Source organism: Homo sapiens, chromosome 1, assembly GCF_000001405.40.
Source record: "Homo sapiens chromosome 1, GRCh38.p14 Primary Assembly".
Taxonomy (NCBI): domain Eukaryota; kingdom Metazoa; phylum Chordata; class Mammalia; order Primates; family Hominidae; genus Homo; species Homo sapiens.
In genome coordinates, this window is record NC_000001.11 from 6274030 (window position 1) to 6291569 (window position 17540).

The window sequence follows — 17540 nt, forward strand, 5'->3', positions numbered from 1 at the left end:
CCTCTGCTCCTGAGGCTTCTTCGAGAGGAACGGGGCCCATGCGAGGACCCCAGGCCCCTCTGCACACCGTGCCTGGGGGTCAGGCAGGTCCTGGGGGTGGGGAGCAGCAGGCACCATCATGGAAAGCTTGCCCCATGCTTCCTCCTAAGTGCAAAGGGGCGAGGGACCTTCCAATTACAGCATCACTGAGAAGGCACGGAGAGGGAACTTGGGGTAACAGCCTGGCGACGGCTCAAGACAGCCACAGCCAAGAGGCATCTCCAGCCTGCTCTGTCTGCAGCCCCCACATCAGTGCGTCACAAAGCTGTGGCCCTCAGCACTGCATGGCAGACAACTTCCAGAAGGCTGCAGAGGGCCTTTCAGCTGACTTAAGCCCTGGGGCCCATCCCGCCCCTCCAGCTGAACAGCAGGTCAAACAGTGCCCTCCTTCCGGACGCTCCAGCCCATGCCACGCTGTCCTCTCGGCTGGCGCGGGGCTTACCCGGCCCCTGCACTCATGCAGGTGAACCAGCTGAGGCCAGGAGAAGGAGGTCATAGGGCAGCAGCAGAAGCGAGGTGGGCACCATGTTCCAGAGCCTTCTGAAAGTTGTGTGGGTCTGTGCTGAGGCCACGCCTCACATAAGGCCCCAGCAGAGGCAAAAGAATCAAACTGGAGTGGAAAACTTTCCACTAAAATGTGCCCCAACCCCCACACTCCACAGTGGCCTGTGGAGGTTCAGTCACCTGCCCAGCACTGGTCCTGAGATCATCTGGGGCTGAAGCAAAGGCCCTGGGCTGAGCGCGGTGTGGGTGGGCGGCGCAGTGCAGGTGGGCAGCGCGTTGGGACTCCCAGGGTTTAGGTTCTTGCACAGAAGGGTTCTCAGGCAGGGCTCCTCCCAGGACCCCACAGTAGGGCCTGGCTGGGAGAAAGCACAGTGGCATCGATGACAGCAGTGAGCGGCCCCCTTTCCCAGTCAGTGAAGTCACAGATGGGCCTGCTGGCCGTGCGACCCCTGGCGAGTGACTCCCTGCCTGGTGCCCGCCTCCTGTCTGGGGATGGGAAGCATCTGTGAGCAGACACACCAGCTCGCAGAGGGGTTGGCGTTCCCTGAAGCCTCCGGCTTCAATGACCTGTACCCAGGCACCACCCAAGAGGAAGCCTCCCCTGCCCCTCCAGTCCCTTGCCCACCCAGGAGACAGGCAGCAGCCTCTGCATCCAGCTGCCCTGGCTTCCTAACCAGAAAACAAACCTGCTGAGAATGGCCCCCGGCCTGGTAGGGCTCCCTCAACCTGAAGGAGCCCAAGGGTCTCAGGGCCTCTTCTAGGTCGGGGCACGTCAGAGCGGACAAAGCTCAACAGGGTGCGTTTTCCCTGAGTTCTTGGAACTCCCCTGGCTATGCATGAGGCAGCTCTGAAAGGCAAGGTAAAGATGGCCACAGCTAGGCCAGGCGCGGTAGCTCACGCCTGTAATCCTAGCACTTTGGGAGGCCGAGGCAGGTGGATCACGAGACCAGCCTGGCCAACATGGTGAAACCCCATTTCTACTAAAAATACAAAAATTAATAAGGAATGGTGGCATGCGCCTGTAATCCCAGCTACTCGGGAGGCTGAGGCAGGAGAATCGTTTGAACCCGGGAGGCAGCGGTTGCAGTGAGCCGAGATCCAGCCATTGCACTCCAGGTTGGGCGACAGAGTGAGGCTCCGTCTCAAAAAAAAAAAAAAAAAAAAAAAAAGATGGCCGCACCTGCCTTCATTACTGCCTCCCACTTCCATCCAGAAAACATTTCGGTGGCTAAAGACTGAAGCTCGGAGTCCTGGGCTGGCCACCTCGGGAGATGTGTGTTCATGAGCACCAGAGAGACCCTCTGGGATGGGCTCCCTCCAGTTTGGAAGCCTGCTTTGCAAAGACCCTGCCCTGCATAATGTGGTTGCACAGTTGGAGCCTCGGCTAATCTGGGGACACATCCCCTCCCCAGTGTGCCCAGGAAGCAGTGGGGTCACGGCGCTCACTCAGCCCTGACAGCCATGGAACAGGCTACAGGCTTCTCCCTGGTCAGGGGCCTCAGCGAGCCCCTCACCCCGCCCTGTCTACACCTCCTCCTCAGGCCCAGGCTGGGACCCACAAGTTCTCAGCCCCAACTCCCTGGGCCTGTAGAGGCTACAATGCCCACGCCTGCAAGAATCAGAGGCAAGTACAGCCCCCACCTGAGGTGCCAGGGACGTCCTCCGCTTCAGCAGACACACGGCTCTGACCCTCCTGCAGGCTGAAAAGCCTTCCCACATCTGTCTGCTGCCGCCTGCGTCCTGCTGTCCCTCCCCACAAGCCACTTCTCCAGCCCCCTTCGGCCCAAGGTCAGAGGGCACTGCCACGGGGAGGCCTGCCTCTACGCGCTGAGTTGGCCTCTTCTAATACGAGACCGAGACCGGGAAGTGCTGGCAGCTGCCCGGAGCGGGTGCGGCAGCCCCCAGCATAAAATATTCATGGAGACGCAACTCCAAGCAGAGAGGCTGCATCCGTGTCAGCCAGGCCCTGGGGAAGGGAGCTAAAAATAGACAGGAGGCTGAAGAAAGCTGACGTGGGGATGAGGGAGGCGACTGGGAGTAGGAGGAGGGGCCGCCAGGGCACATCTGGAGGGACGGAACGCACATGCAGGTTCACCGCACGGAGCACACACGTGCTCCCAGCCCAGAACTCGTGCTCATGTGGGCAGTCCCCAAGTGAGAGCTGAAAATCCCTCTCCGGGCAGCCTGCCCCGCCAGTGGCTATTTCTATCAACATCAACATTGACATCCATGGGCCCCAGGACACCTCAGTGAAGAATCAAAGACCATCTTTAATGAGTGAGAAATAACAGCGTAGATCAACATGACGCGGCCACACCCAGGGGATGGGCTGCCATTCCCTCCATTCAAGCTGGCGCCCTTCCCTGCCCCTCTGCAGCCCCTTCCCCCAGGGCTGGCCCTCCTCCTGCACTCTGACCACCCCCCCCCAGGGTATGGAGTTCTGGAAGGGGCGGCCCCAGGACTGCTCCCCAGCTGGCTCTGGGAAGGTCACAGGCGCGGCCCCAAAAGCCTCCGTGACCGCAGGCTGCTATCCACACAAGGGTGGACCCCCTCAGGTTGGACTCTATAGGGAGTGGGGAACGTGAGGCACAGAGGTCCCCTCCCTGAGAGCCCATGGATCGCTGGCCCCTCGTGGTCACTGCACTGGTCTCCCTGAACCAGCTGAGTGCTGGGGTAGGTGCAGTGGTCCTGACCCCACAACCAGTGTGCACAGCCCAGCTGGGGGCAGCCGGGAGAGGGAACCGTCATTGGTGGGCAAACACCAACCACGCCTGCAGCCGCTGCCAACCTGGGAGGATGCCCCCCACTATCAGCTTTGAAGGGCTGCTATTGGGAGATGCCCCAGGGCACCCCATCAACCTGCACTGAAGCCTGTTCAAAGCACAGGTCACCCAGATCCTCCTCTACTTTACGCCCATATGCGTGAGCCCCATAGACTCCCACCAGCCCTCTCTCCCCAGCCCTGCCCCGTCCTAGCCGGGTGGCCTCGGGTGTGTCACTGTCCCCAAGCTCCCCCGTTACAGACAGTGGCTCTGCGCCTTTGGCCCTCGCCGTTCCCTTCACCTGAATGGTCCCCACAAGACAGCTCCTGCCCTTCCTCCCTGACTCCAGGCCTCCGCTGAGGCTTTCCTTGGGAAGGAACATATTTAAAATTGTACCTGTCCCCCGGCACACTCCGATCCCCTCATTCCCTGCTGTCTTCTTCGTGACCCTGGACACCATTCAACTTCCTCTATCTTCACTGTTTGTTTACTCCTCCCTCTGAGAGGGTGTGAGGCCCCAGGGAGAGCAGGTGAACAGCAGCAGATGATGAAGGCCCCCCATCTTCACCCACCCCACATGGTGGGCACCGTGTCCATCACCACCGTACAGATGAGGAAACCGAGGCACATAGAAAGTGCGTGCCTAAGGCCACACAGCTAGTAAGTTTAGAGCTCTGGCTGACCCGGGCAGCCAGGCGCCTGCTCCTGGATATGTGAGCCTGACAGTCCACGCAGCGTCTGCAGTGGCGGGGGGTGGTTGGGAGGGGGTCTGGGGTGGCGGAGGCGACGCTTCTCTAGAGCGGTTGTGGGTGCCCTTCTAAGGAAAAAACGTCTGAGAAGTGCTGTAGCTCCAGGAGGCTCTGGGGAGGGTGGTCCAGATGGGAGCAGCAGGTGCACAGGCGCCGGGCAGGAGTGAGCTTGCTGCACCCACACCCAGGGCATGGAGGAGCCACCGTGCATTTCGGTGGGAGAGGGAGCAACTCGGATTTTGATGACCAGTTTCCTGGGCTGCAGGGAAGGGTCACATTGAGAGCACCAGGAACAGAGGAAGGAGCAGCTGAGGACTGAGCAGGGGCCCCATGGGGACGGGGCAGTAAGAGCTGTTCGGGAGAGGAGTGGAGCGGCACTGGGTGGGCGTGGGCATGGGGGGAGTAGGGAGGAGCCAGCTGGGTTCCCAGACTTCCAGAGCAGCACAGAGGCGGAGAGGGATTTTTTTGCGGGTGTGATAATGAGTTCCATTCAGGACAAACTGTATTTGTGATGCTTTTGGGAACCCTGTTGAGGGGCAGCACTGGCCAAGTCAATTTGGGAGTCAATACAACACACAGGCGATGCTCGAGGCACAGACCATGGATCTGACCACCCCAGGAGAGAAGGGCCACAGGTTAGGACATGTCAAAGCCAAGGGTTCGGGGACCGTGTGGTGGCCGGGGAGGCTGGAGTATCCCTACAGACACTACAGGGTCCCCCATCCAGGGAGCGCAGGCTTCACTGAGGGCCTGGTCAGCTGTGCTACAGACAGGGAGCGGACAGCAGACAGGGCGTGTCCTTGCGTCTGTCCATGCTGCCCGCAGAGGGAAGACAGAACTGGGAAAGTTTGTCCAGGAGGCAGGAAGAGGTAGGGGGCGGGGAAGGAGAGAGCTTCGGAAATGTGCCTGGGTCAGGTGGGGGATTCAGCATCAGGACAGACAGCAGCCACGCTGAAAAGCGTCATGGGAGGGGCGTCGGGTCCATGGGGAGAGACCAGAGCGGGCCCAGGTGGGAGTGGAGCCCATACTTCATGGCCGAGAAAAGCAGGCAAGTTTGGAGAAGGCGTGTCCAAGGTGAAAGGAGAACCAGACACAGGGCTGAAGGTCAAGGACAGAGGAGGCTGGAGCCTCATAGCAGGGTCAGGGGCTGAGGAACGACTGCGGACCAGCCCAGGCGACGTGGAGGGAGGACACCATCCTGCCAAGGGCCGATGGGTGGCACGGTGGGCCAGGGCAAGGCGGGTAGGCTTACAAGTAAATGGGGAGGGGTGGGGGCAGATGAGGGAGGAAGGAGCAGGCAGCAGAGCCAGCCCTGATGGGGCAGGAGGGTGGCAGCCTAGGGTACTTTGCCACAGAAGAGGCTGTGGGGCTGAAGGCATGGAGCAGTCCTCGCACCAGAAGGGGAGCATGCCTCGTAAGCCCCAAGTCAAAGAGGGGCCTGGTCACGAGAGTCATGCAAGGGTGGGTCACAGGCATTGTGTTAGTGCCGTGCTGGGGGCACCCACCACTCACTTTCCTTCCTTTCAGCCTGGCCGAGTCCTCCTCATCCATCAAGTCCAGGTTCACCATCAGCTCCTCTACTCAGCCCACCCGACCTGGGAGAGGCCGGCACCCAACTCCAGCGAAGAGCTGGCCTGGAGTTGGCAGCGGAGGGTACTCGCTGGGCCTGACAGCTCACACACCACACCTGGCGCTACCACCACGGGCCCTGGTGAGGCATGAGCTCCTCCACTCCAGGAAGGGGCAGGGCTGGGAGAGGGGCTTGGAGGGGCCTCAGCCTCGACTGGGAAACAAAGCAGCTGGGGCGACTCGGCGGCCCTCCTCAGCCATGTGGGGAAGCGACAGGCCGTGCTCCAGGCTCTGAGAGGAATGGGTTTTCAGTGCATGTTCGCCCCAGAGATTTCAGTGCACGCTCCTCTCCGGGAGGCTGAGCAGCAAATGCTTGCGGATCTGCGTGGGGAGCAGACGCCGCGGGGGCAGGGGCCTCGAGAACCTCTGGAATCAGGGGTCAGCCTCGCAGGGCCGTGGTGCCTGCCTGGCCACTTCCATGAGAACGCCAGCTCCCAAGAGGCCTGCGGGCACCCGCCTGCTCCCAGCTGCTCTGTTCCCGCATCCTCGCTCCCCGGAGGGGCAGGAAGCTCCTACAGCTCTGCTTTCCTCTTGCTCCCCTCAGTGACAGACACAAGAGCTGGTTCAAAGAGAAATCAGGACCACCCCAAAGGCTGCAGAGCCCCTGGGGTCAGCCAGGATGGGGAACCTCTGTTCTTATGACAGAGACAGGGAAGCTGCCTCTTTGGGCCGCGCGAACCCTGTCGATGTCTGTGACCCTACAGAGTCCATGCCAGGCGGAGAACCACCAGCTCTCAAACGTGGCAGAGCTCAGGGGATGTGGACACCTGGGGGCAGCAGCCCCTGTGAACGAGTGCGTGTGGCCTGCACACGCCCACCCCACCTGCCCTGCATGAGGAGGAGAAAGGCCAAGGGGCTGGGACCCTCAGCCCAGAGCCCACCAGCCTGGCTTGGTCTCATCAGGCAGGACCTGCAGGCCAGGACCACCTGGAGGGAGCCCACCCCTCCAGCTTCCCAGCAGGCCCTTCAGCAGAGGATGGGGGACCCAGGGCACGGTCCTCATCCCCCTCCAGCATTCTTACACAATGCCAGGGAACACCAAGGCGCCACACTCAGAGGCGACCTGGACGCCCAGGCAGCAGCCATGCTAAGGCGCTCTTAAAGGGGTCTGTCTCTCTTGTCCTGTCTGCCCAGCCCCACCCCACGGGCCCTGGGAGTACAGCCCAAAGGCCTACCCGCTGGTTATGAAGCGTTCCTTCTCAAGGCCTCACCGGATCAGCCCCGCAGCCCGAGGTCACCGGTCACGGCAGTGGCCAGGCCCAGCCCTACTCTGACCCCTACTGACAGGACAGGACTCATGCAGGCACAGATTCCCCCTGGAGGCCCAAACACAGGGACCCTAGGGCTGCCTGGCAGGGAGGGGCCGCCGTTCCAAGGATGCGCACTCACCACCAGCTGGGGCACAGGCAGCGACCTGCCTTCCTGGCTCAGCGACACGTAGGTGAAGAAGGCACTGGCGGCCCGGTAGCGCTTCTGAGAGCTGTCCACAACAGGGTCGGCGTCCACCAACACCTCGATCTCCATGGACTTATTGCTCGTGAAGGTCATGCGTCCCGAGATGGTGATGACGCAGCCTGTGGAGAAGGGAGGGCGGGGGTCAGGGCGGCCTCCACCCCACGGCTGGGCGGGGGACACTGGCGTTTCTGTGGTCAGCAGGCAGACACTTGGTTAGGGGAAGCAGTGGCTTGGCTGACTACCAGATGTTCAAATAACAGAATATTAGAATGTGTCGTTAGTTGCCCATGAATGTTTATCTTTCTAGTGAGCAGGTTTATCTACGCTAAAATTCAGCACTGAAGGATTTTGGTGGCCATGAGTTCAAGCCCCCGCCCAGGCGGGCTCTCTCCTGGCCGGGAGTGGCAGCACCTGCTGAAAGGCTTCAGAGCCACTGTGCCCCCACGGGGGAGGCCGCAGACTGCCTTCCAGGAGCTGTGGGTGTCGGCTGGCTCTGCCCTTCCTTAGGTCAGGGCCAAATCTGCAAACTGCACTGTCCATTCATTGGCCTTGCTGGTGCCCACCGGAGCCACAGCTGCCCCACTACACTGCTCCAAGCACCAAGACAGAACCTTGTATCACCTTCCACAGCCATTCCCACCCTCAGGGGCTCCAGTGACACAGGGCAGCTGCCCGTGCCCCTTGGTGGGATTGAATCTTATGTGACTGCATGCCAAGCCTCCCTTCTGGCCCCACTGGTCTCGCCCACGGGACCAAAGCTTCCTCCTCTGGGCTGCTGGATGCCACACCCCTTGGCCAGAGTCCTCCATGCTCAAAGCACCAGCCCCATTTCTCTGTGAATCATGACAAAGTCCAAAGTCACCAGTTCCCATACATTGTTCCCATGTCCCTCTCTCCCCCTCAACCCTAACCAACCTCTCTGTACGCCCCACGCTCCCCAGGGCACGACAGTCCATCCTGGCAGAAGCTTCCTGACCCAGAGCTGCTCTTCTGCCCCCACCACCCTCCCCGGCCTGGGCTCCATCCTCCTACCTGGCCTCAACATAATCCCTTAATCTCAGGGAGCTCAGCTCTTCCCTATAGGCAGGCATGAGACACCCTGCCTGGGGGATAGCTACGGGATGGAAGGACTCAAGCCAAGAGCTGACCTGGGGCCCCGGGAAGGTGTCACCATCGATGTCACTGGCCACCAGGCTGCAGAAACCCCCGGGGACTTCCGGGGCAAGTGCTGCCCTGCGGTCAGAATGCCCTCCCAGGCGGCCCAGCGTGGCCTCTATTCTGGGCCAGGCTCAAGGATATCCCTGCCCGACTCTGGCTGCTGGGACTTGCTCCCCAGGAAATATATCTGGCTTCGGGGACTTTTTAATGTGGCCTCTGGAACCCCCAGTGTCCTAGCTGCACCGAGACCAGCCTCACAAGGCAGGTTTAGAGACCCAGAGTGAGAAAGCGGCCAGGTGGTGGCTGTTGGAGGGCGGTTAGCAGGCCAGAGGCAAGAGCGGTTATTCCATGTTAAAAAGTATCAGAACGATCCATGCTACATTCAACTTCATACTTACAGGGAGCACTTCGTGCCAGTGCTGGGAGAGGAGGAAGGAGCTGTGTGGTCAGCGCCAGCAGGCATTACGTGAGCTGTAAGGTACAGAGTCCCATGCAAAGCGCCCGCAGTCACAAGACGCACCCCGGGAGGAGGGCAGGCCATGGGTCAGGCCCCAGCTAAGGAGCTAGAAGTTTCAACAGGTCAGACCTGAGGGTCTCCCAGCATCTCTGCCTCCTTCCTCACAATGCCCAGCCCACATCCCTCACCAACAATTGTGTATAACACTTGGGAGTCACAGGCCAAAAAGCAGGAACAAGCCCTTTCCATGAGCAGAAACCAACAAGAACTTCCCTGTGGCCACGGTGTCACACACGGGGGCCACCCATGAGCGTGGTGCCTGGAGGAGGGCAGGTTCCAGGGGTCTTTGAACACTGGCTCTTAGTTTTGAGGAGCAACAGAAAACGTGTTTTTGTTTTTGAGATGGAGTCTCGCTCTATTGCCCAGGCTGGAGGGCAGTGGTGCCATCATGGCTCACTGCAACCTCTGTCTCCCAGGTTTAAGCGACTGTCACACCTGTCACTTAAATAGCTGGGATTACAGGCGTGCACCACCATGCACGGCTGATTTTTGTATCTTTTGTAGAGATGAGGTTTTGTCTTGTTGACCAGGCTGGTCTAGAACTCCTGGCCTCAAGTGATCCAACTGCCTCGGCCTCCCAAATTGCTGGGATTATAATTAGGTGTGAGCCACTCCGCCCAGGCTCCAAAAACATGCTCTTGGTGTTGCCCATGAAGGCCCACCTTGGCCACTGCTGCCACGGCCAGATCCTGGCTGCTCATGGCTTAATTGCTGTGTTAGAAATCTGAAGAAACTCCTAACAGCAATCAACAATGACTTTAAACAACTAAGTAGGTTGATTATAAAAGCATTAGACGTAACAACAAAAAGAAGAGAATGCTGTCTGGGAGAGCCTCTTGTGGTCCATAATACAATTAACACTTCATAAATGTCAGGAAAATTTTCAATTACAACCAAAATCTGAGAATTTTCACCCTTCAGAGAGCAACATCATTATTCTAAACAAGACACAGGCTATAAGGTTGGCTAGCAGGACAAAGTGAAATACTTTAAAACTGGAAACCTAACTGGATATAGTGGCACACGCCTGTGGTCCCAGCTACTCGGGAGGCTCAGGCGGGAGCATCGTTTGAGCCCAGGAGGTCGAGGTTGCAGTCAGCTGAGATCGCACCACTGCACTCTAGCCTGGGTGACAGAGCAAGACCCTGTCTCAGAAAAAAAGAAAAAAACTGGAAATCTGATGTGGTCACTGGCTGGGACTTAATTTGAAACCTAGGGTTGACAGACGAATCACAAGTCCCAGTCACCAAGAGAGAGCCCAGTTTCCAGGGGCCCTGGTTTAGGGTATCCCATCTCCTAGACCCTGGGCTCAGAAGGCACATCCCACACATGACACCAAGGTCTCACAGGCAGCCTCTGGGAAGGGACTGTCCCAGGGGACCTCGGGGGGACCAGCTCCCACCCCCAGGGCTCTGTTCCTGCTCTAGCCCTTCCTGAAGAATTCCAGCTACAGACCGGGCGCAGTGGCTCATACCTGTAATCCCAGCACTCTGGGAGGCCGAGGCGGGCTCATCACTTGAGGTCAGGAATTTGAGACCAGCCTGACCAACATGGTGAAACCCTGTCTCTATTAAAAATACAAAATTAGCCGGGCATGGTGGCACATGCCTGTAATCCCAGCTACTTGGGAGGCTGAGGCAACAGAATCGCCTGAACCCGGGAGGCGCAGGTTGCAGTGAGCTGAGATCATGCCATTGCACTCCAGCCTGGGCAACAAGAGCGAAACTCCATCTCAAAAAAAAAAAAAAAAAAAAAAAGAATTCCAGCATTCCAGCTACAGGCACTTTGTCAACCCCAGGATGGCGGCTGAGGCGCACACCAAATCCTCTCCGCCTCCTCCAGGTCACATAGAGGCCCCCCTGCAGCATCGAGGCCTCCCTGGGGACGGAGGTCCATCCAGGTGGGGTTGGGGTGATGAGCGACTGGCCTCAGCCTCTACAAGGGCCCCTAGCCTGCCCCCTGCTTTCCACACCCCACCAGAGTGGCCTTCTGTGAGCTCCCTGAAGCTCCTGGCCCCCGTGGTCTCTCCCTAGAAAAGCCCTCCTCTTACAGCTATCTGGTTCATCTTCTGAACCTCGGCTCAAGCATCCCTTCTCCAGAGAGCTGCCCAGGGCGGCTCAGCCCCCTCCACCACACCCCCTCTAGAACTGTCCTCCACTCCTGCAGAGCCAACGACCCCATTTGCATTGGCACACTTGTTGGCTTGTCTATTTCACTGTTGTCTGTCTGTCCCCATCTAGCCTGGAAGTCCCACGAGGGCAGGGCTGGGCCCAGGGGGCCCAAAGCAGGTATCCAGTTGACAGGCTGGACCCCTCTGGGGACCCACGAGGGCTGGGGTGTGGGTCACATGTGGACACCAGGTCACCACAGACTCAAGCTGGCCAGAGCCCCATTAGAGCCCCAGGTTTGCATCCTCCTGAAGTGGATGCTGAGCAGCCCAGAATCAGGAGTGCCCAGGAGCATGGCCAGCAGCCCCTTCCAAGCCCTGCTGGCCGGTACTTCCTTCCAGTCTCAACTTCAGTGCCACTCCTGGAAGCAGCCTGCCCTGGAGCCCCACACCTGTCCACCTCCCTTCCTCCCTGCAAAAGGGTGGAGAGCCTGGGGGCAGTCACGTGCTGGCCGTCACCTGCCCACGGGGCAGCACAGACTGATTCCGCCCTTCCTGCTAATTCCTCCATGGCGCAGCCATGTGCTGTCATTCCTCCCACTGGGTCAGAGCCTGGACCATCCAGGCTGCCGGCCAAATCATGACCATGCCCACAGGTCCCTCCACCAAATGTGGAGGCGGGTGAGGCTGGTCATGCATCAGAGAGCTGAAGACAGCGTGTCCAGGTGGCTCTCGGGAGCCCTGAACCTGACAGGAAAGGCAGAGGCAGGGCCCGACAAGCACTGCCTGCAGACCTGGCGTGTCACACGGAGGTCAGGATGCTTCAGGGTCTCCCAGCAATGAGGGGAGCTCAGGCCTCCTTCCCACAAAGTCTGCCTTGATTCAGCCCTCCCGCCAGGCATGAGAAGGGCAGGAAGGGGGGTCCGCACCTGCCTTGTATACCAGTAGTGTCTGTCTGTATCCTGTGGCGAACCTGGCACTAGGCAAAGTTGGGACATTGCGGGGCCCATCCGAGGAAGGGGAGAGAGCCTCAAATCCACTTCCACGCACCTGTCTCAGAAACCAAAGCAAACACAACCCCAAGCAGTGCCAGTACCTGCCATAACAAGGCAGCCAAGACTCGGAGGGCTCTGTGGGGTCAAAAAGACCTCTTGGTCCTGACAATCAGCCCACGAGCGGAGGTGCTGCCTTGGGATGGCTCCACCACATCACCCGTCCAAATGCACCTGCAGTCAAGGTGGCTGGGGTTTATTTAAAAGATGGGTGGGACCAGCTTGAGGTGAAAAATGGATTAACCAAGAACAGCATCTCCCACTGAGCGGGCGGATCAGTGCCCACCTAGGAGAGGTGTGGATGCTTGTTTAGTTCTGGGGAAGGCGGCCAGAAGGGGAGCGCCTGGTCCTCTCTGAGCCTCTGTAGCAGGTACAGCAGCCAGGGCCCTGATGAAGCCAGATATTCATGACAAAGTGTCTCATCAGGAAAGGCAGGGCTCTTCGAGGCCCTGGAGCAAATACCTGTCAAGGCCAGTCTCCGGAGGCTACGAAGCCATGCGGGAGGAGCCCTGAGTTCCATGGCTTTGGAGTCAGATGGGCCTGGATTTAAATCCAGGCTTGGCCACTGAGCAGGGACAAGCCAGGAGACTGCACTGTGCCTCAGTTTCCTCATCTGCAAATGCTTTCCCCATGCACCCAGCTTCAGAGAATGCAGGGGAGCAGCAGACCCAGCCACGACCCACTCACAGTGGCTCTCCTTCATCAGGGGCTCCACAGGCCACCTGGGCATTTTGGGGGTAACTTCCTCCACATTTTTAAAGGAGACACAGTCAACCCATGTGGTTCTATCCTTGCTCTGAGGCTATACTGATGTCAACTGCCCGCATTCATTATGTCACATGACAGGCCCAGGACAGTAATTTGGGGTGGGGCCTGAGTGTGCCCCAGGGGCACCGCTGGAGAGGCTTGCAGGGGGTAAAAGGAATCATACCACAAAGTAACAAGAAGCTAATTTTTTGTATTTTTAGTAGAGATGGGGTTTCAGCATGTTAGCCAGGATGGTCTCGATCTCCTGACCTCGTGATCTGCCTGCCTCGGCCTCCCAAAGTGCTGGGATAACAGGCATGAGCCACCGCGCCCAGCTTAACGATGCATTTTCAAGCTGCCTGAGAGCCAGGAGTTCCGGCACAAGTGCACGGGGACCAGGTGCAGTCACTCCGCAGTCCAGGGCAGGCCTCAAAGGTGGCTGTAGCCGCATGTAATCAATGAGGGTCAAGCTTCATCACTCACACTCGAGGCCCTGACGGGGCGGATGCCAGGTGGGGTTTAGGCCAGGTCGCTGGGGACACCAAAGCATGGGCTCAGAGCTCTGGTCCCAGAGACCAGCTGCTGGGCCTGCCCTCCCAGTCCCACCTGGAACCAGCTCCATGGCTGTGAACAGCTTCCTTAACCCCTCGGAATTGCAGCTTCCAAATGGGAAAAACAAACAGAGATAGCGACAGTCCCTGTCTCACTGGGCTGTGTGAGAAGTAAATGGTATGAAGCAGGTGGCACAATGCCTGGCATCAAGTGTGTCATATTAGGTACAGTTAAACGTATCGGTGCCTGTAGTGGGCTGAATTGTGAATTACAGCCGCTTTCTGTTTTGAAGTAGTTGTTGAGCCTGCCTGGAGTGGCACAGCCCGTGAGCGCTGGCAGGTACCCCAGCCTGACTCCCCCAGCAGACGGGCGTCTCTCCAGGGGCGGCAGCAGCCAGATTTCAGCAGTATGCCAGGGATTTGGAAAAGAAAACAAAATAAAAAAAAAATAGCTGTTAGCAAGACTGAGAGGTTGCCAAGTGTTTCAGAGTTTAGGAAAAGCTCAGCATTTATGCTCCAAAAAGAGCTGTGGCTGTTAACTTTCGTAAGAAAAGCCTGGAAACAGTGAACTGACTTAGTATTTCTTACATAACACACCCCAAGGCCTTTTCTAGAAGACTCCTTATTTTTCACCCTAATAGTGGAGATCGTTTCTCCCCAAGAAAACGTCAACTTTAGGTTTTCTCACCAAGTGCTTCCAAAACTATTACACTGAAGGCAACGATATAACTTTTTCACACCAGCTACCTCTGGACATTTTAATGTCTCAACTGAAAAAAAAAAATCCACACAGCAAGTGACCCCACAGCTCCCATTAGGGGCTCCACTGCTTGCCTGGGGGGCGGAGGCTCTCCCACTCTGTGGGTGCTACCGGGCTCCACGTGCCTTCCCCTGTGCTGGTCCCCTGGGTGCGGGCTCCAGCCTGTCGTGGCCCTCGCGTCCCCAGCACCAACTCCGTTGCTGGCCTGGGAACTCCACGCGCCTTTGGTGGGTGGGCACTTCCCATTTCCCATGAGATCCAGTCGCACAGATGAAGCGGTCCTTCCTTCACCCCAACTGCCTGGTGAGAGTTTAACTTGCCACACACCTGCTAAGGACCCCGTAGGTGCTTGGCCGGGCTAGTTGGCGCAAAGGTGTAAGGGGACAGCTATGACAAGTGGCAGCCTGTCCTAGCAGACCTGAAGTGCCAGCTGGAGGGGCTCAAGCTGAATGTGGCATGTCACGGGGAGCCACGGAGGCTGTGAGCAGAGGAATAGCAGGTCCCTAGCGTCAAAAGGCTGTGACAATGGAGGTGGCACTGGGTTGGGCTGGTGAGGGGTGAGGGTAACAGAGGTGGCCCTCTGTGGTCTAGGCAAGTGTGGGGCATCCTGGAAGAGTCTGGTTCATAAATGCCAAATTTGCAGCCAACAGAGCTGGGCCCACGGCAGGGTGGCAGTGGCCTCCATGGCCGCGGGTGAGGCCTCTCCCAGCCACGACAAGTGCCCCAAGTTCGTAAGTTCCTCCTAGGCACACACCCTTCGTGGCTGAAACTCAAAGTTATCTTCTGAACCCCTGGGCCAATGTCTGGATGAAGCAAAGCTGTCCGTGTAACTTCCTGACAGACACCCCACCCAAGCGAGGGCAAGCCACAGCCACAGGGCCTGGCACTTGGTCAATATCGCATAAAAGGTCACTCTCCCAAGGAGGCAGTTTTACGGGAGGCTGAAGGAGAGAAAGCAAAGCACTTCCTGCCTTAAATCTGGAGAAGCCACCCCACAGGTCTGGCGTCTCCATTCCGCATTCCCACTGTTTTCTGGTTATTTTATTTTATTTTTTTTTGAGACGGAGTCTCGCTCTGTCGCCCCGGCTGGAGTGCAGTGACACGATCTCGGCTCACTGCAACATCTGCCTCTCAGGTTCAAGCGATTCTCCTACCTCAGCCCCCCGAGTAGCTGGGATTACAGGCGCCTGCCCCCACGCCCGGCTAATTTTTGTATTTTTAGTAGAGACGGGGTTTCACCATGTTGGCCAGGCTGGTCTCGAACTCCTGACCTCAGGTGATCAGACTGCCTCGGCCTCCCAAAGTGCTGGGATTACAGGAGTGAGCCACCACGCCCAGCCTGTTTTTGTTTTTTAAATTGAGACAAGGTCTCACTCTGTCACCCAGGCTGAGTGCGGCGGCACAATCACGGCTCACACTGCAGCCTCTGCCTCCTGGGCTCATGTGATCCTCCTCCCTTAGCTTCCTGAGTAGCCCAGATAATTTTTAAATTTTTGTAGAGATGGGGCCTCACCATGTTGCCCAGGCTGGTCTCAAACTCCAGGGCTCAAGTGATCTTCCTGCCTCAGCCTCACAAAGTGTTGGAATTACAAGCGTGAGCCACTGTGACCAGCCTGCTTTTTTTGTGTGTGTTTTGTTTTGTTTTGTTTTTAAAGAAACAGGGGTCTCACTGTGTTGCCCAGGCTGGTCTCGAACCCCTGGCTTAAGCAATCCTCCTACTTTAGCATCCTAAGTAGCCAAAACTACAGGCTTGAGCCATCGTGCCCAGGCCCAGCTATTTTTCTAATAAAATATGCTGAAATGGGCACATCAGAAAACCCCCTTCCACCTGCTAAGACAGAATAATGTGCTCCCAAAAGATGCCCACACCCAAATCCACTGAACCTGTGACCTCACGTGGCAAAGGGGACTCTGCAGACATTGACTAAGTGACAGCCCTGGAGATGGGAAGATTGTTCTGGGGTACCCGGGTGGGCCTGATAGAATCACAGGGGTCCTGTGAGAGGGAGGCAGGAGTGTCAGCACGAGGGGGGGAATGGGATGCTGTTAGGAGAGGCTGGAGGATGGCCGGGACCATGAGCCGAGGAATGTGGGTGGCCTCAGACGCTGGGAAAGGCGAGACATGGATTCTTCCCTCCAGCTCCTGGTAGGATGCAGCCTGCAGACCTGCCTTAGACTTCTGACCTCCAAAATTACAGGAGAGTGAGTGCAGGCTATTTTAAGCTACTGTGTATGGAAATGTTACAGCAGCCCCAGGAAACTCATGGAGGCCACATGACTGGCAACGGGTCTCAACTCCTGGGCTTTTCCCCACTGTGGCAGATCAGCCTGTGGGAGGTAGGGGGTTTCCTCCCAGGGGGACCAGTGGCCTCTCAGGGCTGCTCACATGAGGGGCACGGGCTGTGACCGGCTGCCATGGCCCTGCTGTGCCCTCAGGCTCCAACCGCCTGGATGTGCCCAGTCTACCTGCAGGCACCTTTTCCATAAACGTATGATTTTAAAAGTAATCCTTATGTGGATTAAATTTATACTTGACTTAAGGTTAATACTAATACAACACCCCAACACAAAGAACTGCAACCCTCGGTCTATGCGACTATTTCTTGTTATTACAAAACCGCTGCCTTCTGGGGCTTATGGAGGAGACGTCACATCCGTTCTCACTTCTGACACTGACCCTGACTCCCTGCCATTTAGAGGAAAGGCCCTGGTCCTTCATCAGTAGCCCCTAGGCCTGCTAACTGTAGAGACTCTCATTTGGCTCTAGTGAGGCTGCTCTCTGAAGTCAGGGTCCGGAGCTAGCCCCTTGCCAGCTGTATGACTGCTCTTCTCAAAAGTGGGGGGCCCCTGGGGGACTGCTGGGGTCACTCTCCCTGCATTCCTTAGAGTGGCCCCTTCTCCAGGCTGACGTCAATTTCACTGCTGGCTCTCACAAGGGCAGGTCCCACATCCACAGAGACAGAGGCAGCTTGGGGCTGGTGAATCCCAGAGGGGATTTTATCAAGTTCATGATTTTATAAAAGTGGAAGTGAGCTAGTATCTACATGAGTTGAGCTTTAAGGAGACAAAGCATTTCTAGTGGGTTCCCAAATGATACATCTACTCACAACTTCAGAGTGGGGCCTTATTGGAATAAAGGTCTTAGCAGGTATAATTAAGCAAAAGGTCTTGAGATGAGATCACCCCGGATTCTCCAGGTGTGTCCTAAATCCTATGACAAGTGTCCTTATAAGAGACAGAAGAGGAGAGACACACAGAGGAAGAGGCCTTGTGACCACAGAGACAGACCAGAGTGACGCAGCCACAAGCCAAGAAACGTCAAGGAACAGCTGCTGCTCCCAGAAGCTGGAAGGGGCAGGGACGGATCCTCCCCTGACTTCAGAGGGACCTTGGCCCTGCTGACGCCTTGATTTCAGAATTCTGGCCTCTAGAACTGGGGGCGAACAGATGTCTGTTGTTCTGAGCCCACCAGAAAGCAATGCCCATTCTCTACAGTACAAAGCTCTGCCA

At 57.6% G+C, this 17540-nt stretch overlaps 1 protein-coding gene across 5 annotated transcripts in view, besides 4 other annotated features; it reads right to left on the minus strand.

Annotated features, from left to right (window-relative positions):
- The window catches only part of ACOT7 (acyl-CoA thioesterase 7), a 129496-nt gene that overhangs the window by 9758 nt on the left and 102198 nt on the right, over positions 1-17540 (minus strand). For all 5 annotated transcript variants that reach the window (NM_007274.4, NM_181864.3, XM_047443399.1 and 2 more), the window contains exon 8: positions 7073-7257. In NM_007274.4, coding sequence (NP_009205.3) covers positions 7073-7257 — 185 coding nt within the window. The remainder of the gene's footprint in view (positions 1-7072; positions 7258-17540) is intronic.
- Positions 975-1565: an enhancer, noted in NCBI's record as "H3K27ac-H3K4me1 hESC enhancer chr1:6335064-6335654 (GRCh37/hg19 assembly coordinates)". NCBI's record gives its function as "activates a minimal SCP1, AML or CMV promoter by ChIP-STARR-seq in primed H9 embryonic stem cells {active_cell/tissue: H9 hESC(primed)}" and the evidence as "EXISTENCE:reporter gene assay evidence [ECO:0000049][PMID:30033119]".
- Positions 5488-6353: an enhancer, noted in NCBI's record as "H3K27ac-H3K4me1 hESC enhancer chr1:6339577-6340442 (GRCh37/hg19 assembly coordinates)". NCBI's record gives its function as "activates a minimal SCP1, AML or CMV promoter by ChIP-STARR-seq in naive H9 embryonic stem cells {active_cell/tissue: H9 hESC(naive)}" and the evidence as "EXISTENCE:reporter gene assay evidence [ECO:0000049][PMID:30033119]".
- Positions 6597-7146: an enhancer, noted in NCBI's record as "H3K27ac-H3K4me1 hESC enhancer chr1:6340686-6341235 (GRCh37/hg19 assembly coordinates)". NCBI's record gives its function as "activates a minimal SCP1, AML or CMV promoter by ChIP-STARR-seq in naive and primed H9 embryonic stem cells {active_cell/tissue: H9 hESC(naive and primed)}" and the evidence as "EXISTENCE:reporter gene assay evidence [ECO:0000049][PMID:30033119]".
- Positions 17231-17290: an enhancer, noted in NCBI's record as "active region_76". NCBI's record gives its function as "activates an Ori minimal core promoter by ATAC-STARR-seq in GM12878 lymphoblastoid cells {active_cell/tissue: GM12878}" and the evidence as "EXISTENCE:reporter gene assay evidence [ECO:0000049][PMID:35858748]".